General features: G+C 43.5%; 1 long non-coding RNA gene and 1 pseudogene across 1 annotated transcript in view; one reads left to right on the forward strand and one right to left on the reverse strand.

Moving 5' to 3' along the window:
* Positions 1-23599, forward strand: part of LOC132205950 (uncharacterized) — a 31950-nt gene extending 8351 nt beyond the window's left edge. Inside the window, exons 2-6 of the long non-coding RNA NR_188388.1 lie at positions 8667-8751; positions 14309-14515; positions 16112-16264; positions 22799-22826; positions 23343-23599. This is a non-coding gene — a long non-coding RNA (uncharacterized LOC132205950). The remainder of the gene's footprint in view (positions 1-8666; positions 8752-14308; positions 14516-16111; positions 16265-22798; positions 22827-23342) is intronic.
* Positions 14064-14171, reverse strand: RNA5SP403 (RNA, 5S ribosomal pseudogene 403; annotated as a pseudogene).
* Positions 23600-27556: the final 3957 nt, after the last annotated feature.

Below are 27556 nucleotides of genomic sequence, written 5' to 3' on the forward strand. Positions count from 1 at the left end.
TCTCTGACCTGCAGCCTCAGTTTGCAAGACTAGGAGAATCCTGGCCACCATGTCTGAGTTGATGGCCTTGTGTGTGGCTGTGAGACATGTGGAGGAGCCCAGGACAAGGCCAGCATCCACAGAGGTGTGTGAGTTTCCTAGGGATACTATTACTGCAAACTGAGTGGCTCACAACAACAGAAATTGATTCTCTCACAGTTCTGGAGATTAGAAGTCTGAAATCTAGGTGTCGGCAGGATTGATCCTTCTGGAGGCACCGAGAGAATCTGTTCCATGCCTCTCTCTTAGATTTTGGTGACCTCTAGCAATCCTTGGTGTTCCTTGGCTTGTAGATGCTCCACTTTAATCTTTGCCTCTGTCATCCCAGGACATTCTCTGGTGTGTCTCTGCATCCAAATTTCTTCTTCTTATAAGGATACCAGTCATTGGGTTAGGACGAGTAGGCCCTCTTCTTGATTACATCTGCAAAGACCCTATTTCTAAATAAGGTCATATTTGCAAATATTGGGGATCAAGACTGCAATATTATCTTCTTGGGAAACACAATTCAACAGAAAACAAGGTTCATAGGGGTGGTTTTAGCATCCACCCTAAGCCATGTGGAGTGACCATGCAACCCATGTAAAACAGCAGCCATGACTGCTATGCAAATGCAGCTTCGAAACAATGCCCCATCTCTTTGCAGTAAGATGACCAACTGAAGTCCTCCTGCATAGAACTTCCAGAGGCTCAGGATTTCACATAGTTTTGGTATGATAAAGGATGAGGTAAGCGAAGGTATAGGAGAGGGACTGAAATTGCAGCCACAGAGGTCCCTTGCTTACATATGCCTTTAAGGAAACCTGCTGTAATTAGGGCGGTTGGCTGATCGTCTCCAGCTGCTGCATGGTCAAATCCACTACAGCGTTTTTATGAGGCCATATTCTCCTGGCCGCACTGAGCCAGTAACTAAGTAGGGTGAGGGTGCCAGTGCCAGCCCATCCTGCCTGATGAAGATTCTTCTAGTAGACAACACGTGCTTGGAGGCTAATCAGGCAGCTTCAGCATCTCCCTCCCACATCCTCTTTCCTTCCCTTTCTCCTTTCCCAGGTGTCAGACCCGCATCGTGGTCTAAAGCCTCTCCCCACCTCCTCCTCTTCCCTTCTCCTTTATCCTTCATAGGCATTTCCCCCAATAAATCTCTTGCATGTCAAATTCCTTCTTGGCATCCACTTCTGAGAGAACCCAGAAGAAGAATTGAGAATAGAGACATACAAATCCAGCCATCTTGGAAGCCCTGATACTCTGAAACTCAAGAACTTCAGCCTTCATGCTTACCATATTCACATGGATAGGCAGATTTCACCCATGTGGAAGGTGTGTCAAAGATGGCCTGGAGGCTAGCTAGCCGAGTAGACATTCTGTAACTATTCTCACCCCATGCCCTGGCTTCTTTCCTCTATAGTGCCTGGAAAGCCAAATATTTATTTTCTAGCCTCTTTGCACTGAAGATTACTTTCTCAATTGAAAAAAGGACAAGATGAAGCTGGCACCACCCTTTCCTCCCTTTGTCCTGCCTTGAATATGAACATCATGCTTAGATCCTGAGTAGCCAATTGAGAACATGAGATAACAATCATGAAGGAAAGATTCAGAGAAACATAGAGGCACCACCCCTGACATCACCAAGCTTCTGAATGAACACAGCAGCTGTTTACCTCTAGACATATTGTTATGTAAGAAAAATAGACCCTTATCTGTGTAAGGTACCATGTGCCACTTGCAGGTAAAAACATGCCTAGATGATACAGAAGGCTTGATTTTGAATACATGCTCTGTGGATTTTGAGCAAAGGTCTCAGGAAATACTAGCAGCATCTTTGGGTGCAGGCAGAACATCATAGGCAGAGGGTCAGAAAGTAGTACCCGCATCCCTCTCTACTTGGCATCCCATGCAGAGGTGGACATGTGCTAGGAGCTTCTGGATTAACTGTGGGGCTGAGAAGTGCCCCTGCTCCCTGTTGCTCTCTGTTTTGTTTTGATGGGGTAGGCATGACAGATATGGGCTTTAGTCTTTTCCCTAGTTTATTTGATTAACAGAAATAGGTTATAACAGTGAGAGTTTGTGGAAGAGAACATCAAACTTTTTTTTAGTGAAATCTTTTTTTAACTTTTAAATTCATGGGCCCATGTGCAGATTTCTTACATAGTTAAACTTGTGTCACTGGGGTTTGTTGTAAAGATTATTTCATCACCCAGGTTTTAAGCCTAGTACCTATTAGTTATTTTTCCTGATCCTCTCCCTCCTCCCACTCTCTGCCCTCTAATAGGCCCCATTGTGTATTGTTCCCCTCTCTGTGTCCATGTATTCTCTTCATTTAGCTCCTACTTAGAAGTGAGAAGATGTGTTATTTGATTTTTTGTTCCTGCATTAGTTTACTAAGGATAATGGCCTTCAGCTCCATCCCAGTCCCTGCAAAGGACATGATCTCATTTTTTTTTATGACTGCATAGTGTCCCATGGTGTATAAGTACCACATTTTCTTTATCCATTATATTACTGATGGACATTTGGGTTGATTCCATGTCTTCGCTATTGTGAACAGTGCTGCAGTGAACATATATATGCACGTGTCTTTATAATAGAACATCTTTATAAAGGATTTATACTTTTGCTTATCCAAGTGACAATGACTAGAACACAGAAGAAAGTGGTCTTGGGAAGACTTCCACAATGGAAGACTTAGGAAAAAATTGCAACCACTCACTCATGTGTTTTTCAGGAGTTAATCTTTTTTATTTTATTAAAAAAAATTCAAGTCCACTTTCAACTTCCCCCAAAAACCCACATCTCCACCAGCTGAAAGTGAATCAACCCCATACTCAGAGCACAATCGGGCGTCATGTTCTTTACTTAATATCCGCAGTAGTAACACTCGAGCACCAAAAAAGCCCAACTAATTATATGTCTGTTTTTTCCGCTGTTATTATTTGCTTGTAACAAAAGGCACCTGCGCTGTTAATTATGCCCTTTTCATAAACTTCTTCTCCAACCAACCAACCAAAAATGAGTTTTGGGGTAAAGGGTTGTGAGTTAGAAAGGGAGGTCTTTACATCAGATCTTTACATTTTTCCTTGAGTCTATACAATGACATTCTCATTCATATGAGGCCTCCATAACCCTCACTCTGGCCATCAGGGAAGACGATTCACTGAAATTTTAAGAAAAGAGATAAAAATGATAAAATAGAAAATCTCGGAGAAGGGGAATCTAGAGGGAAGTGAGCCAAACCTCCCTTCTTTAAAAGTCATAGCCTCATTTTGAGGATGAGATTTCCTGGAGAAAAGTACACATCACAGCTATATCACGTACATATTGTAAAATATTCTCTGACAGTTTTTTTGCTATTTATATCCAGAGGCATAACATACAGGAAAGGGCACACATCTGAAGCATACACCTTGGTTACTTCTTTTTCTTTTGAACATTTTTTATTGTGGTAATAGATATGCAACCTAAAATTTGCCATTTGAACGTGTGTGTGTGTGTGTGTGCGCGCGCGTGTGTGTGTGTGTCAGGGTCTGACTCTGTCGACCAGGCTGGAGTGCAGCAGTGCAATCTCGGCTCACTGCAACCTCTGCCTCTCAGGCTCAGGTGATCCTTCCACCATAGCCTCCCAAGCAGCTGGGACCACAGGCACATGTCACCACACCTGGGTAATTTTTATATCTTTTGTAGAGACGAGGTTTCGCCATGTTGCCCAGGCTAGTCTCAAACTCCTGAGCTCAAGCGATCCACCTGCTTCAGCCTCCCAAAGTGCTGGGATTAGAGGCATGAGCCACTGCCCCCGGCCCATTTGAACCATTTTAGACTATAACATTCAGTGGCATGAACTGCAGTCACAGTTTTGTACAACTATTACCACTACTACTTCCAAATTTTTTTATCATCCCACACAGAGACTCTGCAACAATTACAGCTTGACTGATTTTTACACATATTTACAATGTGTAGCCAAACCCCAGATCGAGATATAGAACATTTCTAGCTTGCTCTCTTATACTCCTTTCCAGTTAATAACCTCCCAGAGGCAACCACTGTTCTGACTTCTAGCACCACATGTTAGTTTTGCCTAAACATCCACATACATGGAAGCAAACAAGATGTACTCTTTGTGTCTGGTTTCTTTTACTCAACAATGCCTGTGAGATTCACCCATATGGTTGCATATATCCAATTTGTTCTTTCTTTACTGCTACATCATATACTATCATATGAACATATCACAGGTCTTTCAGTGAGCAGGAGGAGCACTTCTTTCTCTTGGCCACTGTGCTAGTTTCTAGGGCTACCGTGACAAAGAACCACAGATTGGGTGCCTGAAACAACAGAAATTTGTTTTCTTAGTTGCGGAGGCTAGAAGTCCAAGATCAAGGTGTTGGTAGCTTTGGTTTCTTCTGAGGTCTCTCTCTTTAGCTTATAAATGGCCCTGTGCCTTCACATAAATTTTTTCCCCTCTGTAGATGTCTGTGTCCTGATTTCCTCTTCTTATAGGTACACCAGTCATATGGGGATTAGGGCTTACTCCAGTAACCTCATTAATCTTTGATCACCTCTTTAAAGACCCTACTGAGAGGACTTCAACATACAAATTTTGGGTGGGACACAATTCAGTACAAAACAGCCATGTACGTAGGAGTGACATTCCTCAGTCATAGGATGGGCAGGTGTTTAGTGTTAATGATTATATTGCTGGTTTTCCAAAGTGATGTACCGAGTGAAAGTCCTACCAGCACTGCAAGAGTTCCTGTTCCTCCACATCTTTGACAACACTTGATGTTGTCAGTTTTATTTTCATTTTAGTCATTCCGGTGAGTGACTGGCAGTATTTATTGGTATTTTCCCAGGCACTTCTTGAAAAACAGCTCAGTGTCTGATTCGACATTTGCCCTCTAGCCCATATGTTGTCACAACATATTTTGTGGTCATACCTGGGAAGTTGTTTAGCTCACAAAGGTTCCTGTGGTATGTTTGTTTCCACAAGTCTGGGAAGTGGTCTTTACCCCTATGTGGATAGAGAAAGTGTGGGTAATCCACAGTTACATATTTATTTGTATATGAAATTTCTCAAATACTCTTCTATTAGTGTGTACTACTTTTCTAAAACAAACAAACAAAGACTCATTTAAGAAAGGAGGTTGGGCATGGTGGCTCACATCTGTAATCCCAGCACTTTGGGATGCCAAGGCAGACAGATTACCTGAGGTCAGGAATTTGAGACCAGTGTAGCCAACATGGCGAAACCTCATCTCTACTAAAAATACAAAAATTAGCCAGGCATGGTGGTGCGCGCCTGTATTCCCAGCTACTCCGGAGACTGAGGCAGGAGAATTGCTTGAAACCAGGAGGCCGAGGTTGCAGTGAGCTGAGATCATGCCACTGCACTCCAGGCTGGGCAGCAGAGTGAGACTTTGTCTCAAAAAAAAAAAAAAAATTCATTGTGGGAGCGCTAGAGAGATGATTCTGGGGTGCAATTGTAAGTGTGCTTTTTGATTGGTTTCCATTTTCAAAGAGCTCACTCATCAGCAAGCAGTGGGAACACCCACTTGCTCTTGGGAAGGCTTCTAAAGAAGATGGAAGGCTGGTCCTGATTACAATACAAATGTGTACAAATATGTGCTTGCCTGTTTGTGTAAATACATACATGTCATTATTTTTTTAAAGACCTGCACCAGGTGCTGTGCTAAGGGTGCTTAGCAATCTCTATAGCATCTTTATTAGATTTATAGTGACATAATAACAACAACACTGATAACAATAATAATGATGATGATGATGATTTTTTGATGTTCAGAGAGGCTCAATGACTCACCCAAGGCCACATAAATAGCTTGTAAATGGCAGACCTAGGACTCTGAACTCTGTTCTACCTGACTCTTTTTTTTGAGATGGAGTCTAACTCTGTTGCCCTGGCTGGAGTGCAGTGGCACAATCTCAGCTCCCTGCAACCTCTGCCTCCCAGGTTCAAGTAATTCTCCTGCCTCAGCCACCCGAGTAGCTGGGTTTACAGGCACATTCCACCACGCCCAGCTGATTTTTGTATTTTTAGTAGAAACAGGGTTTTGCCAGGTTGGCCAGGCTGGTCTCGAACTCCTGACCTCAAGTGATCTGACTGCCTCAGCCTCCCAAAGTGCTGGGAGTACAGGCATAAGCCACCACACCCTGTCCACCGGACTCTCATCTGTTGACATTTTGCTGCTTTTGTTCTGAGTTTGGGTCTTTCACAAACCTTACCTGCAGGATTTCTAAAGCTCATGATGCTGCAAGGTGGGCGATATTTAGACCCGCTTTATAGATGAAGAAACAAAGGCATTTGGCCAAAGTCACATGGTTTGTTGACAGAGCCAGTACTGAAACCCATTTGGTATGATTCCCAGCTCCATGATTACTATCATTATTCTTATTATTTCAAATCTGTATCAAGCTCTGGTAAGATGGAAACTGGGTTTGTACTACCCTTGAGTGACAGGTTCGTCCACCAGAAAGTTCTGCCTTGCATTGAGCTGAAATTGGCATCCTTGCAACTTCACCCAATTGCTTCCAGTTTGCAGCCCAGCATTTAGCACTTAATTACATCTTGTCTTCTCTTATGCACTAATTGTGTCTTGTGGTTCCTCCCTTCTCCCTGGCTTACTTGCCAACTCCTCGAGGGCAGAGACCAAGTCTTGTAGGCTGAACACCTTTCAGAGAGGCAGAGTAAGAGCTTATTAAATAAATACATGTTGATTGAAAGTCCCACCAGTGTTTCCCCCTGGGGCCTCATCCCAGGTGTGTAGAACACAGTGTAGGAAGGTCACAAGGGATTTGCAATTTAAATATGCATACAGTTTGCATATAATTTGCATACCCTCTTAACAAACTGTGCAGTCAACACTCAGCAACTTTAAATTTTAAATGATATCGCTCCTTGAAGGCTGTCATTTCTTCATCTCTTCTTTCTTTCCTTCTTCAATATTGTGCATGTCAAATCAGGAACTAGGGCATTTGCACCTTAACTAGAAAATGAGTAGAGCCTAGCTTGTGGCAAAAGAAGGTCAGGGTGAGGCTGCCTGGTTAAAATTTTATTTGCCCTTTCAAGGGTAATTATTGCCTGTGTTTGCCAGTGTTCTCAGACACAATTACTAAGTCCTGCGTTACTTAGTTCATGCCACCAACTGTGTCCTTTACGTATTTTAGCTAGAAATTACTCAGCATTCTTTCAGTTGCAAGTGATAGAAACCTCACTCAAAGCAGTGTAAGCGAAGAGAGAGAACTTGAATTCACTGGCTTCTGTAACCGAACAGTCTGAGATCTGGACTCGAAATACAGTGACATATTAATAACAATGACACTAATTGTTGTTGGCTGGATCTAGAGATTGAAATGTCATCAAGAGTTAATATGACTGACTCTTCTCTTTTTCCTACTCTGCTTACAGTCCCAGTAGAAAGAGCCTTCCTGGCCCAATAGATGAAGTAAAAATCCCAAGACTGTGTCTCATTGGTCTGATATGGGTCACATGGCTATCCCTAAAACAATCACTGTGGTTGGAAGAAAAATATGCTGATTAGCTAGTTCTTGGATGAGCCTCACCAAGTCACGTGGTCCCAGAGAGAGGAGATGGAGTTTCCTAAAGAGACGTCAGGTTGGGGGGCGGTGAAGGGAGAGAGTTTGGGGATCCTGTCATTAGAGAATGGGCAGACACAAACCACAGATGTCCATCACCAGCCCTGTACCTGTATAGTAAGTCAGTCCATCTTCCTAGCCTGGGGTTCCTTGAAGGCAAAGAGTTAGGTGACTCCTCATGGAATGGAACGTCTAAAGGAAACTGCCAAGGTACAAGGCATTTCCCAGCTGTTCCCTGAGTGCCAAGTGTTGAAATGACAGTGTTGAGCAAATGCAGACACAGTCTCTGCCCACCACAAGACTTACATATTTTTGGTGGGCAGACTACACACAATAGACTGTGATAGAGAATGATGCCCATTATACAGAAGTATGAACAAAGATTTCTGCTCTCAGCCTAGAACACTCGAGACAACAGAAGGGTGATAACAGGCTGGATGTGATGGCTCACACCTGTAATCCTAGCATTTTAGGAGGCCAAGGTGGGAGGATCACTTGAGCTCAGCAGTTCAAGACCAGCCTGGTTAACATAGTGAGATCTTATCTCTACTAAAAGTAAAAAAAAAAAAAAAAAAAAAAAAAGCCAAGTTTGGTGGTGTGAACCTGTAGTCCCAGCTACTCGGGAAGCTGAGGCAGGAGGATCACTTGAGCCCAGGAGGTTGAGGCTGCAGTGAGCTGTGATCACGCCACTGCACTCCAGCCTGGGCAACAGAGTAAGAACCTGTCTCAAAAAGAAAAATAAGGAAGGATGATAATAACAGCTTACATCCTCTTATACACATTCACAGCAACTTCTAGGATAATAGATGTGATGTTGCCCCAATTTAATGGGTAAGGGAGTGGAGGCTTTGAAAGGGAAACACCCCACCTGCCAGTCAGCCGTGCACTTTCATATAATAAACCTTTCACTAATCTTTCCAATAGCCCTGAGATGTGCAAAAGTAATTGCGGTTTTGCCATTAAAGTAATTGCAAAGACTGCAATTACTTTTGCACCAACCTAATACTTATCTTCTTTTGTAGATGAGCATCTCAGCATCTCAGAGGTGAAGAAACTGGCCTAGCCACCACGTGGTGGCACTTGCAGCCTGAGTCAGCAGATCCCCAGGTAAATGACCGAATGTCATACAAAACCTGAGGCTGGGACAGGACTCCCTGCTTGAGCTCATGGCTCCAAGCCCAGTGCCTGTTCCTCAGCCCCACTGATGCCACCCTCTGCCCTCAAGCCATGCGCCCATGAAGGCGTCACTCTGATGGGTCATTAGGCGGTGACTCTTGCAACTGGGCAAATAGGTGTGAGCAGCCCAGGCCCAGAAAGAAGAACAAGGTGCCCTTGCTGTTCTCCTTGCCAGAGCTTTGAGGCCCTGCCCCAGAAATGTCAACCTCCTGTTCCGAGAGGTATTTCTGTCCTCTCCATCACTCATCACTAACCCCGTTCCAGACGCTGGGTGGTGATGGTGGCAGTGGTATGCAGCCAGCCCTACTGGGGCTTGGCTGGGTGTGGGTGGCAGCCGAGATCTGGCCTATTTTGCTCACAGGATGAGCAAAGACCTGCTCGCTATTCTGCAGGTAACATCCTGGCCATTCTCATAAAAGTAAAGGATTCTCTTGTGGTTCCAACTGTACAAAATGTCAGACCCAGAGAGTAAGCATGGTGCCCAGTGCCTGATGGATGTCCAGCAACTGTTTCTTAAATTTATTAAATAACTCAAAGGCCAAATCTGATCAGCTGAGGTTTCTTCAATGCCACAGGAAGTTTTGGGGACACAGCTCTCCCTGTTGCCCTCATGATAAAGGGTAATGAATAATTGAATCCCAGCATCCAAACCCATGGTGAATTTCTTCTCTGTCATTGACAGCAAAACTATAATAGCACTTACTTTTTTTAGTGCTTTTGTTGCCCATATTACTCTGGCCTTACTCTGACACTTACATATATTGTTGATAAACTTTATGACAGTCCTCAAAGGTAGATGCCCTCATCTCCATTTCATAGTTAAAAAAACTGAGGCTCAGAAAAGAAGATACACATGACCAAGGTCACACAGCTATTATGTGCCACAGTCAGAATTCAAACTCTGTCTGACTTTTATTCACTTATTCAAAAATATTTAATTGAGTGCCTACTGCATGCATTCACTATATTGGGCTCTGGGGATACAGCAGTGAACAAAATAGAAAAATTCCTGTTCTCCTGAAGCGTCACAGTCTAGAAGGGGTGAACCACAACATGCAAATAAATATATACATATATAGTATGTCAGATGGTGGTAGGTGCTTTAAAAAATTAAGCAGACTTGAGGAGCCTAGTGGGGGCCAATTTGATTTGTGGTGATTGGAGAAGACCTCTCTTATGACGTGACATTTGAGCAGAGACCTGGGGGGAACAAGGGAGTGGCAAGTCATGAAAATATCTGGAGGAACCACATTCCAGGCAGAGGGAACAGCCTAATGTGAAGGCTTTGCCGTGGGACGTCTTCACCAAGGAGGGAAAGTGGCATCAGAGGGGTGAAGAGGGGCCATATCATAGGATGTTTTATAGTTACTACACAGATTTTGGATTATGTATTCAATTCAGAGGGAGATGGGGAGTTGCAGGAGTGTTTTGAGGAGAGTTATGCCTTATCTGACTTACATTTTGTATTACCTAGGTTTTTTGCAGAGAACAAACTGTAGGGGGACAAAGGTAGGACCCAGAGCCCACTTAGGAAGCCACTGCAGTGAACCAGGGAAAGAAGGTGGAGTCTTCGTCTAGAGTAGAAGACGTAGATTGATTTTGAATGCATTTTGAGGGAAGTGGTGTGGGACTTGCTGATGGCTTAGATGTGTGTGGTGAGTGGGGGGCAGAACAAAAATGACTTCAACATTTTTTTTTTTTTGTCTGCACAACCAGAAGATGCCATTTACTAAGATGGGGAGATATTGGTCAAAGCTGATTTGAGCAGAGTGGGGTCAAGGGTTTGGTTTTGTACCTGTTATGTTCAAGATACTTATTGGATACTCAAGGGGAGATATTAAGAGACAGTTGTATATGGAAAGGATGGAGCTGGAGATGAAAATAAGGGATTTGTTGCCACAGAGGCAGTATTAAATGTTACGGGATGGTTAAAACCGCTAGGGAGTGCAGCCCTGGAGCACTCCAATATCGGAGGCCAGGAAGATAAGACCCAGCAAAGAACACTGAGAAGGCATAGTTAGTGGGACAGACGATACAAAAATTAGACTGTGGAGGCCAAGGGAAAAAGGTATCTCAAGAAGACAGGAGCAATTAATTGCATCAAATGCTGCTGCTTGGTTGAGTTAGATGAGGACTGAGGATTCATCATTTGTTGTAGGACATTAGATATCATTGTTGACTTTGACAAAAGTCTCTTTCTGGGGTAGAAATCAAGAGAGAGTGGGAAGAACACAAGTGGAGACAATTATTTTTATGTGTGTGCACAATAAAGGAAAGCAAAGAAATGGAACAGTAGCCAAACAGATCAGGGATGATTTTTCTTAAGATGAGAAATATTGCGGCATGTTTGTGTTCTGATAGGAATGATAGAGCAGAGAGGGAAAATTTTATGATACAAGAAAACAGTGGGTTGTTGCAAGAATAGTACCCCTGAACTGGCTAGAGGGGAGGGGCTTCAGTGGACAACTGGAGTGTTTGGCCTTAGAGCCCGCACCTATGCTCTCTCTGCTGTGCCAGGAAGCCTGTCCAGCATGATGCATTCATTCTTCGCCTCTTTCCTCAGAACACTCCTGTTCGCAAGAACAAAGCCTAGGACAGACGCTTGCTATTTCTGCTACCTATAACCATGAAGTAGCGAGAAAAGAGAAATAGGAGGTGACAGAAGACTTTGAGCTGCTGAATTTAGGTGTGGGAACTGTGAGCTTGCAAAATCACCTTGCTGGGGATGTTTTCAAGGTTGGGAGGCAGTTTCAAGAGGAAGTTGACACAAAATTAACACGCACCACTAAAATACAAGTTGGGAAGTGATCTAAGGTGTTTACCAAGGAGGTGGCAGTTGCCATTGTCTCTCCAATTTCCACAGTTGGAATCAATAGGTTCCTTTTAAGGTCATTCATACAACAAATGGAGATCCTGGGAGAGACTTTGGAGACAGAACAAAGACAGGGCTTTTGTCCTCAGGGATCTGGAGGTCCAGGAAGGTTTTTTGTGAACACCGGATGTTCACAGTACAGCATCCCATGTTATGTGTTTGGAGAGAGTTACACGTGTGGACAGACACACAGAGCAGGGTTGGGTAAACCAGGTAAGTTTCGAGGAGGCAAGGCTTGGGCTTGTCTTCAAGAAGGAGTGGACTCTGTACAAGGAGATGTAAGGAGACGTGTTTCTGAGACAGGGAACAAAACCTCAGTGGTATGAAACACATTCAGGAAACATCAAATACCGAGTTGGCTGGAGTTGGGACTTTATCCAGAGCACTCTGAAGATCCAGTGAAAGATTTCACTAGAGGGACTATTGGGATGGGCATGTTTAGAATTCAGAGCACGAAAGAAATATAAAAGAAGTGGCCAGGTTGAAAGGCATTTCATCAATACATAAACAGGATCATCTATTTATCTTGTACTATAGTTGAATTATATGCACTCTCTAGGGTTTGGGGGGTCTGGAGGCAGGCATGGAAAGAAGATTAAGAGTTTCCTGTTTCATGATTATTTACCAAGCCAGGGTCTTGCGCATAATTATTGAATGACTGTTCCCTAAGATGTAGAGTTGAGAACTAAAGTTTTCTAAGCATACAGCTCTAATTCCAGTGACACCCATTTAAGCACCTACTAATAGCAAAGCTATTACGATAAATAGGTGAGCCTATTTATGTATTGACGGAATGCCTCTCAAAACCAGGCCACTTCTATTTCGTTTGTGCTCTGAATTCTAAACATGCCCACCCTAAATGTGCCCAAAGTTGCTCAGATGTCAGTAACTAGCTAAATAACAGTTTTATTTATTTATCTTTTTATGGAGACACAATTCATGACAGTATTTTATTTTGTTTCTATTTATTTTGCAGTTACTTTCCATTATACTGTAAGTAATATTGGTTTTCCCTTGGTAGTCCTAATGTTTTTAGCACAGCTTTTTAAAAAGTGATTGACTTTAGATAGTTATACTCTTCTAAGAAAGGAATAATATATGTGGCACTTGAATGTGACAAAAATTGTGAGGGCAGCCAATATAAAGAAATGAAGTAGTGATGCATGATGGATAAATCTTAAAAACAGCATGCTACGGGAAGGCCACCACTTACAAAATGCCATTCTTTGAGTCCATTTATATGACATGACCAGAAAAGACAAATCTAAAGAAATAGATTAGTAATTCCCTGGGGCTGGGGATGGGAAAAGGGAGAGAACAAATAGGGCATGAGGGTTTTTTAGGGGTGATGAAAATGTTCTAAAATTAGTTCGGGGTGATGGTTGCACAATTCTGCAAATCTACTAAAAATCACTACATTGTACACTTAAAATGATCTTATGGCATCTACATTGTAGCTCAATAAAGCTGTTTAAAAACTGTGAGGGTGGTCGGTGCTCACACTTATAATCCCTGCATTTTGGGAGGCCAAGGCGGGAGTATTGCTCAAGGTCAGGAGTTTGAGAGCAGCCTGGGCAACATGGCGAAACCTTGTCTCTACAAAAAACACAAAAATTAGCCAGGCATGGTGGTGCATGCCTGTGGTCCCAGCTACTTGGGAGCCTGAGGTGGGAGGATCGCTTGAGCCTGGGAAGTGGAGGGTGCAGTGAGCTGAGACTGCACCACTACACTCCAGCCTGGGTGACAGCATGAGACCCTACCTCAAAAAAGAAAATAAAAACTGTGAGAGTAATGTGTGAATGCCTGAAATTTTGAAACCATCGGGCAGTAACAATAGGATGGGTTTCAATTGTGTTTGTCAGAGCTGGCTCAGGGGCTACTTTGAAGGAAAAGATAGAAGCACACCCAATCAGGGCTAGTTCAAGACCATTCTAATCTGTCCTTAATTGTATATAAAGAGTTCAACTTAGAAACACTGCTAGAGACAAATGAAGCTACCGCCAGAGCAAAAGTAGGTCCACTCTGCCCAGCACCAGCTGATGGCATAAGCATTGTGTAGGGCCACTTAACATCTAGGTGTCATGGTTTATTTATAAAGGTGGCTCATGCCTTATTTATGATATAAAGAAGGTCACCATGTAAACATCTTTGAATAAAACTTCTATGAGCACAAAACAGAACAAGAGGTGTCAGCATACAGAGCCTGGCTTTATTTAGATGGGTGTGCATCTGTCACTTGTCCAGAGTCTTGGGACCTGGGTACAGCGAGCTTGATGAAACCTAACCCGTTTGCAGGTTGAGGCTTGTGTGTCTGTGGCTTCCACAGACGATTTCGGTGGAGGACAAGATTCCTCCTATCCAAGTACTAACCAGGCCCCAAGACAAGATTCCTCCCATCCAAGTACTAATCAGGCCCGACCCTGCTTAGCTTCTGAGATCAGATGAGATCGGGAGCGTTCAAGGTGGTATGGCCATAGACTGGAGGACAAGATTCCTAAGCTAAAAATGCCTGTTAGTGCTATCTAGGGAGGATAGTACCATCACAGAGTTTGGTCTGGTTTTGTATGCTTTGTACAAATTGAAGTAATTACCACTTGTGATTTCCTTTATGCGTAGGCAAATGAAGACTCTGAGATGAAGACAGCTGAGCGCATGATGGGGTAGGTCAGCCTCCCTCATGGAAATTCTGTGTGCCTGAGGCCCACCCTTCCAGTGCAGATGGAGGGATGGGATGGAAATGAATCTAGGGGAACGCATCCCAGCTGTGATCCAGCCACCTCTGCGTTTGAAGGCTGGGGGTTATTCCCTCCTCATGGTTGCCACGTAAGTGTAGCCTTTTAAACTGGTCTGTCTACGTCCACCCCTGATGCCTGTAGGAGAAAATCTCCCGTCAAAGCCACCTCAATCCTTTTTAGAACAAATTCAGTAAAATCACATTCCCACTCAAACTCTCCAGTGGCTTCCCATCTTATTAACAACAAAGCCCAGGCAGGGCGCAGTGGTTCACACCTGTAATCGCAGCACTTTGAGGGCCGAGGTGGGTGGGTCATCTGAGGTCAGGAGTTCGAGACCAGCCTGGCCAACATGGCGGAACCCTGTCTCTACTAAAAATACAAAAATTTGCCAGGTGTGGTGGCAGGCACCTGTAATCCCACCTACTTGGGAGGCTGAAACATGAGAATCACTTGAACCTGGGAGGTGGAGGGTTGCAGTGAGCAGAGATCACGCCATTGCACTCCGGCCTGGGTGACAGAGCGAGACTCCATCTCAAAAACAAAACAAAACAAAAAGCCCAAAGAATAAAAACCTGACAGCCAAGTTCAGCTGATCTCAGTCTGTGCTGTCCATATGCAGTTACTGAGTCCTTAAAACATGGCTACCTGGAACTCAGATACACTGTGGGTGCGAAACCCACCATTGTGGACATTCTTGTGCTTGCAATATTTGAAGGGAATATGAAAAAGTAATGAGAACTAGTTCATTAATACTTTTTCATATTATCACTGTTAAAATAGTAATATTTTGATTCTATTGGCTTACTAAAATAAATTTTGCCTGATTTTTAAAAATGTGGCTAAGAAGAGAAAAAATTTAAGTTACACTGGGGACCACACTCTGTTGCTATGAGGCAGCACTCCACTCATCCCCGCTTATTTCCTACACTGGCTTTCTTATTTCTCCTTGAACAAGGCAATCATGCCCTGGGTTCATGCACTTAGCATACCATGTGGCTTTTTCCTTTGTCTCCCCTAGACCTCTGTTCAAATGTAACTTTATCAGAGAGGCTTTCCCTGAGCAGATTCTAAAGATGCACCCTAATCCCCCCTAATCACCTTCTCTTGCTTTATTTCTGTTCATAGGACTCACCACCACTGATGTTATACTACCCGTTGGCTTTGTCTGTTTATTGTTGTCTCTTTTACCAGAATGTAAACTTCAAAGGGTGGGGGCTTTGTTTTATTCATCATCTGCTCTCCCAGTGCCTAGAATGGCGCCTGGCATCAAGTAGGAAAAGTCCCTGCTTGCATAAAGCTCTGTCTCATGAGGGAGACTGAGGGGGAAGCAGATTTCTTCACTGCATTATAATAGGTGCTCTTATGGGGAGTATGGCCTGCTAGGGACGCAGAGAAAGAAGGTGATGCTGTTCTTGGTGATTTTCCTTCCATCCATTCACCCTATTCTTTACTAACATAATCCCAATGTTATTCAGGTATCCACACCTTCCCTTAGCCAAGTTCCTCACAGGAAGACGACGTCCCCATCCCCACGTGGGCCTCATTCTCTTAGCCAGTGATTGGTTTAGAAAGTGGTCATGTGACCCAACTCTGGCCAATGAGATTATGAGGGCTTACCGGGGGGAGATTCTGGGAAAAATATGTGCTTTCCTGTAAGAAGAGACATTCTCTCTTTTTCTTCTAGGCATTCTTATGTTTGCATGTCATGCTTGGAACTGCCGCAGCCACTTTGTGACAGCCTGAGAATGAATCCAGCGCTAAAATCAGTCTAGCAAAAGGAGGAGAAACACCTGGGTCTCCATGATGTCACTGAGCAAGTGAATTGACCAGCTGTGAGGTCTGTACTATTTTTTAGGAATCTTCATGGGAGATAATACATATCTTTATTTTTAAGTAATATAGAGTTAGGGCTTTGGTGATTTTCAAATTAAAGTTTCCTGGACTTCCTATCTGACCTAACCTTATGAAGTGTCAAGGGTAGCATCTGTCTTAAATCAGATTCTCCAGGACATAGGCTCTGAGATGGAGATTTTCATGCAAGACGTTCCTCAGGGAGTAGCCTTGAGATCAACACTTGCTGGGGAGTGAAGGAAATGGGATCCAGCAAGAGAGAAGCTGAATGTGATGCAGCTGCAACGAAGGCCTCCACTCATACAGCAGCAAGCTCTGAAGCTGGGATGGCCCCAAGTCTTGTACTTTCTTGAGACAGCCACATGGGAGAGTCATGGGATGTGGCTTGTCCCCAGGTAGGTAGAGTGACTTTGGGAGGGGCAGTTCTTTTTGACTGAAGGCGTTTTCTGGAGAGAGACGCTTAGGTGGGAGCTGTTAGCCACACACTTCCCAGTAGTTGGAGGTGAGTATGGGTGGTCACCTCAGCAGTAACTACAGCCTTATGAAGCAGGTGATAGCTAAGCTATGATTTAAAAAGATAAGGGGAGGATTGGGAAAACGGAGACCATTTCAAGGATAGGAAATAGTACTTGACAAACCTAAAATTAACAAAGAGCGTGAACTCAGAACTGAGAGGTGACAGAAAAATGGCGATCCTTTTTCTCCCCACCCTAAGTCAGTTTCAGTTGGGTTTTCTTTCACTTGCACCCAACAGGTCCTGATTGGTACACACAGGTTCTAGACGGCAGAGCCAAGATTTGAAGTCTGTTCTCTGTAACTCAAGAGTCCATGACCTTAATCGACATGCCATATTGTCTCTTGAGCTAAACAATATAACCCTGTATCTGAGTCACTTAAAGTGTTCTAGGCAAGATCTTCAGATGACTACACATTTGAAAATGAGGTTGTGTGAGTCAAAAGAGTTGAATCCCATATATTTTTGTCCCCATATGTTTGCAAAGAGACTTTCATTTTACCTCTTCTAAATTCAATTTCTGTTTATGAACCTTCCTTTGTCTCTCCCCTATGTGATGGGAGCCACAGGAAGGAGGAAAGGCGGGGCCATGGAAACAGAAATAACAGGCACTCAGTCATAGCAGGAGTCCCATAAACTAAGTCCTAAAGATCGAAAGAGATTATTTCATTCACTGTAAATCAGTCACTGGCAGGCAGGGCTTTTGTCACCGCGGAAGGCCAAATGTGCTTCTGAAGTGAGTTCATCACATAAAAGTAGCATCTGGAGAGCCATTGACATAATGTTGAGAGAAGCAAACAGCCTGGCTCCTGGGGCCCTGCCCCTGCAGCGAGTGTGTCACCAAGAGCTGCAGCATTTCCTGTAGGCTCATGAGCTGAGCGCCTCTCAAAGCAGCCATGCTCCCAGGTCAAAACAAATCAAGTTTTAACCGGGGAAAGAAAAAGCTGCCATCTTCAAGGTATGCCATGCTCTGATATTTCCCCACCCCTGGGCTTTTGCACATGCTATGTTATCCACTTAGGCTGCTTTTCCTTCTTTTATGCCTGGAAAACTCCTGGTCATCCTTTAAGACCCAGCTCAAATATCACGTGCTTGTGAAGCATTCCCCATGCCTTGCAAGGATAATGCAGCCGTCCCCTCCTCAGGGCCTACTCAGCAATTTGCACGGACCCTTCCTACATCATGTTTCTGTCGTAGGTAAGACAATGTATTGTAGTTCTTAGTGTTAGCATCAGATTCCCCTTTAGACTAAGGTTCTCCTTTAGGGGAGGAACATGGGCCATTTCTATCTACAGTCTCCTGGTGTCAGACATGTGATATGTACTCAGTAAGGGTTTGAAGGGTGAATACATGATTGCATGAGTGCATGACAGAGAGAATGAGTGTGAGTGTGGATAAGTGAGTGTGTGTTACCTGAATGGTGAGTGAATGAGACAGTGAGTGAATGATGTGTGTGTAAATGAGAGTGAATGTGGGTCATTAGAAAGACAAATGATGACTGAGTAAATGAAAAGCAAGTCTAGAAGTGACATGAGACTTTGGAAGTCTGTCTTTTGAACTTTGAAGGGTTTAATTCCTTTGCAACCAAACTTGGGCATCTCCTGTACCCACCATTCACTGCGTTGCTTAGCATAAGAAAGACAAAACTGATTACTTTCTCTAAGGGCTGGACAAGTTTGTTTCCAGGGGTAAAGCAGTAGGCAGGAGGTGCTGTAGCTGGAGAAAACCAAGAGGCTTGCGGATTTTGAGATAATAAAAATCCTGAAAATGCTCCTGAAGTCCTCAAAGTGATGGAAGATACACCATTACTCCTGGACTCGTTAATTCTTAAGCTTTTTTAAAAAATTTTTTTCTTTGTTTTTGGTTGTGGTGATGGGGGCGGAAGGGGTGGAATCTTTTACAATAGGATAAACACTATGGGCCTTCTCTCCAGAAAATATGTACAATCACACACAAACATGCACACATACATGCACAGTTGTGTGTGTAATTTTAGGGATTAATGGAATCTCTTGAATCCAACTACAAGATATGCAGACCCCAGGTTTCGAACCCTTTGAGATTTCACGTGTCTATTTTAGCTTACCACCATATTCACAGGATGCATCAGAGAGCTTAACATATAATATTAGGACTTCACACATTTCTGTTGAATTGAGTTGAATTTTTGTTGAACTAGTTTCAATTGAAATTGCCCAACTTGAGAAATAGGGGCATGGACCCGCTGACTTTCTCAAAATCTCATGTATCTTGGGAATGTTCAACTATACACAAGGTGGCTCCAGATATTGATTCTATAAGGATAAAATGATTTTTCCAGCACTTTCCATCTTCAGCCCTCACCAGGACGTGTGAGTCTTTCCTTCCATAAAGGATCATGGTGGAAAATATGAGAGTGTGAAGTATGGTTCACATCTGGATAAGCAAACAGAGCTCTGTGTTGAAACAGCTTAATTAATGGTGATGCCAAGCCCTTGGCCTTGTTTCCTCAGTGCCATATGCGGTGCAAATAACGCCCAGGTCTCCGCTCTGAGTGGGACACGTGAAACTCCGGTCTAGAAAGGGCAGCCTAGATTGGTGAAAAAAATTAACAGCTGAAGTGGAACAGAATTAAAATTTATCTTGAACCTGGCGTTTAATGAAGGGTGTTTAATTTCATTAATAGAGCTTAGAGAATCTCTCCTGTTGAGAAGGACTTATATAAGGGGCAAAATGAATAACTGTCCAACCACTATGGAGGCAGAATGGTAAAAATTGAAAATGTCAGTAATTGGAGGTTTGGCCAGGGTGTGAGAAAATCGGTGTTTTTATATACTGCTGGAAGGAGGGTGAAATGTGTAAATATTTTGGAGAGCTATTTGGTAATAATGATTAAAACAAACAGAAAAAGCATATAGTCTTTGACCCAAGTGTTCCAGTATTGAGATGTTTTCCTACAAATGTTCTCATTCCTATGCACAATGAAGATGTTCATTGTTTATAATAGGGTGGACTGGAGACAATCTAAGTGTCCAAGAATCCAAGAATAGGGAATTGGCTAATTAATTAATCCATTCGCTCAATGGTACCCATTTTGGCATTTGGGAAGGAGAAAATAGCTTAATATGCCCTGATAAGGAGTCATAGCCATGATATATGTTTTCAGTGGAAAAAAAAGCATGGGGCTTAAAGAATATTTCTAATGATAAGAACAGGGATGTGGAAATGCTTGGAATATCTGTGGAAGGCTGGGCATATGCACACACACATACTTTATAATAATAGATACTTCTAAAGAGAAGTTGGGGACGGTATCAGGGATGGGATTAATAATTTTAGTTAAATATACTTTGTACTGTTTGGATTTTTACTATATGCAGATGTTAATTTTTTAAATTAAAAATTTTTTTAAATAGAAGAAATCCATTTTAAAAACAAGTAATCATTTCTTAGGTTTATTTGTTCATTTATTCACTTAAATACTTACTGAGCACATGCAAAGAGCTGACATTTGATGACCCAGTCTTCAAAAATGTGACCTGCTATTTGTGCGTTGAGGGTATTGAACAAAGTGATATGCCTCTTACAGTGCTTCCCAACCATAACCTCATGGCAAGTTTGTTTCGGGAAGGAGGGAGAAAGAGAAAGGGTGAAATTCTTTGAGCCTCTGACGTTTTCCAGCCACTGTGCTGGGCACTGTCTATATGCTTATCTAATCTGGTCTTCTCTTTGCTGAATTCCTAGCACCTAGATCAGGGTTTGCATCTGATGAGCAAATGGATGATTGAATTAATAAATAAATAAAGGAATGAATTGTGGTGCCTGGGCCCTCTGTCAAGAGGGAGCAAGTGGCCTGAGGAAGGGCAGACTCTCAGCTGAGCCCAAGACCCAGGCTCCCTGCTGGGTGCTGCTGAGAGGAGGACTTACACACTGAGCTTTCCTGGTGCTCCCCCTGGGGAAGAGTGTGTGCGTAATAACCACTCAGCGTTTTTGCCCAGGAAGCAGCAGACAAGCCAGGAGGCTTGTTTAATATTTTAATAGTATGCATTTTTAAAATATATCATCTGGGTACACTAGTCAGTTTCTCTTCACTTCTATTATATTTTTTGATACCTGAGGGTTTTGTCTGCTTTCTGGAACAGTTGCCTCTGTGAGAAAAAGTCTCACTTGTTCCAACAAATATTTACTAAAAACTTTAAGAATATATTTGAGAGATCACTACTGACCCTTTCCTTCTTTGAGGAACAACTTCCCCCCAACTAAGGATCTCGGTGTTCATGCCGTGTAACATGTTTGTTTCTTATAGACACAGTGGACCATGTAAGACATTGGGTTCTCTTTTTGCATCTGCCACTAGGAAGCTCAGAACCCAACTGTGCCATCTATTTCTAGCATAGTTTCCATTTTGTCTATGAAAGTGGTGCTTACCTGTTCTACACTATTCTATATGGCGTTTTTCTTAAATGTATTTTATCTTGTATTATATGACCCCTATAAAGACTTTGGAACAAGGTAAGCGTATTAGTTTCCAAGGAGTTCTATAACAAGTTACCACTAACTAGGTAGCTTAAAATAACAGAAATTTATTCCTTCACAATTCTGGAGGACAGAAGTCTAAAATCAAGGTGTTGGAAGGGTTGGTTATTTCTGGAGGTTCTGAGAGAGAATTCATGTCTCATTCCTGGCTTCTGGTGGCTGTCAGCAATCCTTGGCATTCCTCAGCTTGTAGCTGCATCGCTACAGTCTCTGCATCACTCTAGTCTCTGCCTCTGTCTTCATATAGCCTTCTACTCTGTGTGTCCTCATCATTTTTATCTCTTATAAAGACACCCATCATTGGATTTGGGGCCCACCCTAATCCAGGGAAATCTCATATCAAGAGCCTTAACTTAATTATACCTGCAAAGGTCCTCATTCCAAATAACCTCATATTCTGAAGTTCGGACAGGGTGTGTCTTTTTTTTTTTTAGGGGGGTTGCACTATTTAACCCACTATAGAAGTAAATATGTAAGTACAGAAGTCAATTTAAAAAATAATAAAAGAGGCTGGGCATGGTGGCTCATGCCTGTAATCTCAGCACTCTGGGAGGCCAAGGTGGGTGAATCACCTGAGGTCAGGAGTTCGAGACCAGCCTGGCCAACATGGCAAAACCCTTTCTCTACTAAAAATGCAAAAATTAGCTGGGTGTGGTGGTGGATGCCTGTAATCCCAGCTACTCTGGAGGCTGAGGCAGGAGAATCGCTTGAACCCTGGAGGCGGAGGTGGCAGTGAGCCAAGATCGCGCCACTGCACTCCAGCCTCGGCGACAGAGTAAGACTTTGTCTCCAAAAATAAAGTAAAAAATAAAAATAAAAATAATGAAAGTGATGTGTACCAGGCATGGGGAAACTAAGGTAGACCTCATGAGAGCACAGCCCCAAAGGAATTCACAATCACATGCAGGAGTCCTGGCCAGCAGAATCCACTCTACGTTGTTAGCAAGAACATATCGTCACGTGGAGCTTTACTATTCTGCAACCCTTCTATTTGAAAAGATGCTGTATTGAGAGTGCCAGGACTGAAAGGACTCATCATGATTCAAAATTTCTCATGTTATAGCTGTAGATTAGAGCTCAGAGAAGACAAGCAAGGCTGCACAGCAAAGTTGCAGAATGTAGGTTTTCAGATCTGAGCCTGGGACTCTTCCTCCTGTTCTTTCTCATCAGTAAAGAGGATAGAGACTCGGTTCACCAACCAATTAAAATGAAAGTCATCATTCCAAAGGCGGGGGTAAGAGACACTGCAAATTAAAAGAGCTTTACATGAGAAGGAGGCAGAGGGCATGGGCTTAATGACCACAAATAAAAAGAAACAGCCGAGAAATGGGGCTGTCAGTTTCTGCTTTAGCTATCAGGATGCAGCCAAAAATGAAGATATGAACAGACTAAGCCCTTATCCCAAAGGGGAGAGGAGCAATGTCCATGTGGGTATCCCAGGATGCTCCATGCACGATCTCATTTAATCCTTCCTCTTAACATTTCTGGCAGGTACTTCTGTGATTCCTCCATCTCACAGGTGAGAAAACTGTAGCTTGGAATGGCTAAGTCATTTGGGTGAAGTTACATGGCCTATTAGATATGTGACCAAGGTTTGGCTCTGGTTCTTGGCTTACCTCTGGCCCTGCCTGGATTTTTAGCCCTGGATAATGCATTCTCCTAGTCTGGCCCTCAGTTTTCCCATCTGCAAATGCAAAGTGTGGATGGAATGACTCAGAATCTTCTGCTTCTGAAGTTTACTGGTTTTCACAATGTGGGAAGTGTAGCTGACTGTTATAGACTGAATTCTGTCACCCAAAATTCATGTGGAACATAATCCCCTATGAACTGTATTTGGAGATAGGGCCTTTAGGGAGATAATTAAGGTTAAAGGAGATTATAAGGGTGGGAAATACAGTTGACTGTTACGGACTGAATTCTGTTCCCTCCAAATTCATGTTGAACGTAATCCCTTATGGACTGTATTTGGAGATAGGGCCTTTAAGGAGATAACTAAGGTTAAAGGAGGTTATAATGGTGGGGTCCTAATCCACAGGACTGGTGTCCTTATAATGAAAGGAAGAGACACTGAGTTCTGTCTCCCAGCCTTGTGAGGACACGTTGAGATGACTGCAAGCTGGGAAGAGAGCCTTCACCAGGAGCTGAATTTGCTGGTAGTTTGATCTTGAACCACATTGAGATGACTGCAAGCTGGGAAGAGAGCCTTCACCAGGAGCTGAATTTGCTGGTACTTTGATCTTGAACCTCCAGCCTCCAGAATTGTGACAAAATAAATTTCTGTTGTTGAAGCCACTCAGTCAGATGTTTTGTTATGGCAGCCCAAGCTGAGCAATATACTGACCATCACTTGATTTTATGGATTCATGTATTGGAAGCACTGTCTAAAGGTGGATTGCAGAGGACTATTTGGATCAGATTCTGGATATGGGCCAGGGCAAGGTATTCTGGGTGGCCAAAGGATGGGGGTCATGAGGCCAAATGAGGGGACACAAGGCACAATAGCCATAAATAGCAATGCCCTTGACTTTTTTTTTTTTTTTTTTTTTTTTTTTTTTTGAGACGGAGTCTCGCTCTGTCGCCCAGGCTGGAGTGCAGTGGCTCGATCTCTGCTCACTGCAAGCTCCGCCTCCTGGGTTCACGCCATTCTCCTGCCTTCAGCGTCTCGAGTAGCTGGGACTACAGGCACCCACCACCACGCCCGGCCAATTTTTTGTATTTTTAGTAGAGACGGGGTTTCTCCATGTTAGCCAGGATGGTCTCGATCTCCTGCCCTCGTGATCCGCCTGCCTCAGCCTCCCAAAGTGCTGGGATTACAGACGTGAGCCACCGCGCCCGGCCAGCAATGCCGTTGACATTTTTATCCAAGGGGTTTGCATGCTAGAGGGAGTCCCAGCACAAAAGGTTAAAATCTCCAAGGACTGGGATGGTATCTGTCGTGTTTCTCATTGCCTAGCTCAGAGCCTGCCATGGAGCAGAATTTCAGCAAAATTCATTGACTGACTGGCTGGGCAAGCACTTACTAAACTGGTTTGAACTCTGGTTCTGTGTCTTAGGCAAGAGACTTTTTGATGCAAATGACACATCTATAAAATGGGTATCATGATAGCAGGACTGCTTAAGCCTCACATGTCGACTTTGGTGGCTGAGAGTCTGGGTTCTGAGGTTGGATGGCATGAGTTTAAATTTCACCTCTTGGAGTTCTGAGCCATTAGATTTCAAGCAACGTCCCTGAATTTTTTGTGCCTCAGTTTCCTTATCTTTAAAAAGGAGGTAATAATACCACCGCATGAGGTGCAGGGAGGGTAAAGTGAGATGCGAGTGCAATGTGCTTGGTGGGGGGTCTGGCACATAGTAAATGCTCAGTCAACAGTAAATGCCTTCTTCTCTTTAATATTCCTTCAAAGCTGCAGAGTGTGGCAGTAAGGGGCTTCCCTGCCAGTCCTACATTTAATGGAATCAGAGGGAATATTGCCCTCTTTCAGCCCCTGGATGCCTGCAGACTCAGGATTCCCCACTGCAGCCAGTAACCACGCTGCTGGATTGGGGCTGCTGGGTAACACCTTTTTTTATAAAAACAGAAAAGAAAGGTTTTTCTTAGATGGGCTCACTTGCGAAGAACTCTCAGAAATCCATTAACTCTAGTATTACTAAACATCTGAATGCAATTTGCGGGCTATAATAACATCTCTCAAGTTAGCAAATGTTTATGCCTCTCTATAATTTTCTTTTCCATATGGAAATAGACCTGTCATACTAACGTAGTGGGCCAGCTGCCTCTATAATATCGTTAATAGGCAGGAAGGATTGTAGCTCCTACAGTCTGATGGGCTTGAGATGCATTTCTATTCCAGAGTGGGCTCAAGGACGGATGGAGTTTCAGCTCTGGGGTCTACTTCATATGCGTCGCTTAACAGGTAGAAAATATATGATGTTAGAATAAAGGAATTAGGAGGCACCAGGCCTGCTGTCATCTGTCAGGGAAATGAGTGAGTAGAACAAACATTTTTAGAGTCCCTGCTTTGTGCCAAGCAATAGGCTGGGCTTCAAATATATTTCAGTTGTATTCTAACTTGGGTGTACATGTCAAGGTCCCCCATGGAGATTATCATAAATACAGATTCCTGGGCCTCACCCCATACTTGCTGAATTAGAATCCCTGTGGGTAGTGCCTGAACATCTGAATTTTTAATGCATTTCTTTGACCACCTAGTGGTTTCCATGCATTTCAGGGTATAGGGGGGCTAAATCCTTATAGCACAGAGGAAAATGAAACTATATTTCAGGGAAAATATTCCTTTTACATAACAGATATGGATCATTTAAGCTTCCCCTAAAAGGTTTATTTCCTTTTCAAATAATTGGATAATTTAGATCCTCCACCCAAACCAGCCTCCTAATTGAGTTGTCTGGTACATCAATTCAGCAAATATTTTCCGATATTTTCCGAGTGCCTACTAAGTGCACACGTGTTTGGGAATGAAATATTTGAAAGACAGAGACGCTACACTGTTCCTGTGGAGGTTAGTTTCTAGTGGAAGAGCTGGGCATGAGCACAGGTGACTATAACAGAATATAAATATTACAGCAAATTGGGAAGTGGGAACCCTGAGAAGAGCTACTGACTTACATCAAGAGGGACTGATAGCTCAGCTGAGATGAGAGAAACAGCAGAAGCCAGCCACGGGAAGGAAGCAGAGTGTGTGCTGGGCGGAGAGAACACCACGAGGCTGAGTCCTGGGGCAAGAAGGGGCTTGGAGAGGCAGAAGGACTCCAGAAGTTTCTGCCTGGCTGCAATGTAGAATGAGAGGTAGAAAATGCGGAAAAATGAGATCAGGCTGGAGAGGGCAGTTGTGTGCCATGCTGTGGAGTGGAGACTTTATGCTGAGGGCAGTGGTGAGCCATCGGAGGGGTAATGCAAGGGCATAACACAGTCATATTCACGTTATAAAGATCACTCTGGCTGCTACATAAGATGCAAAGTAGAGGCAGGGAGCGGACCTCAGGGCTGGAAGACCAGTTGGGAGAATGTTGCTGTTGTTCGGGTGAAAGGGGATGGTCGTTTGGACCAAGAGATTGGTAGTAGAGTTGGGGTCCAGTTGACAGGCTCAAGACTCTGTCCAATGAGTGATTGGATACCAGACAACCTAGAGAGTTATTAGGGTGCAGAATAAACAATTCGTCCCGAAGTCCAGCCCCAAGGAAATTACTATTACTACTACTTATTTGAGTTATTTATTTATTTATAGTTTACTTTATGTTCTGGGATACATGTGCAGAACGTGCAGGTTTGTTACATACGTATACGTGTGCCATGGTGGTTTGCTGCACCTATCAACCCATCATGTAGGTTTTAAGGCCCGCATGCATTAGCTTTTGTCCTAATGCTCTCCCTCCCCTTGCCCCCCACCTCCTGACAGGCCCCCTTGCCGCCCACCTCCGGACAGGCCCCAGTGTGTGATGTTCCCCTCTCTGCATCTGTGTGTTCTCATTGTTCAACTCCCACTTATGAGTGAGAACATGCGGTGTTTGGTTTTCTGTTCCTATGTTAGTTTGCTGAGAGTGACGGCTTCCAGCTTCATCCATGTCCCTGCAAAGGACATTAACTCATTCTTTTTTATGGCTGCATAGTATTCCAGTAGTTCTTCTTACTATTACTTTTTTTCAGATGGAGTCTTGCTCTGTCACCCAGGCTGGAGTGCAGTGGTGCGATCTTGGCTCATTGCAACCTCCACCTCCCAGGTTCAAGCGATTCACCTGCCTCAGCCTCCTGAGTAGCTGGGATTCCAGGCATGCACCACCACACCTGGCTAATTTTTGTATTTTTAGTAGAGCGAGGGTTTTACCATGTTGGCCACGCTGGTCTCTAACTCCTGACCTCAAGCGATCCACCTGCGTTGGCCTCCCAAAGTGCTGAGTGAGAGTGGCTACACAATGTGCTATTGTCTGGATGCACCATAATTTATTGAAACAATCCTTATTGCTGGACATTGAAGTTGTTCATATACATTTTTTACCATTATTAAGAATGCTAGTTATAATAGTTTGACTTAAAGCTTTTCCCATATTTTAGACCTTTTTAAGAATAATTGTTAGAGAATACTAGAGGATTTTCCAAAGAGAGGTAGCCCCAAAGGAAGACTCAGCACTGACTTCACTGAACAGGTGCCTTCTCCTTTCTGGTCAGTTTCCTTATCTGTGAAGTGGGCTCTACGTGTGATGATCTCTATCACTATCATCCTCTGAGTCTGC

Source organism: Homo sapiens, chromosome 16 (assembly GCF_000001405.40).
Source record: "Homo sapiens chromosome 16, GRCh38.p14 Primary Assembly".
In the NCBI taxonomy this organism is placed as follows: domain Eukaryota; kingdom Metazoa; phylum Chordata; class Mammalia; order Primates; family Hominidae; genus Homo; species Homo sapiens.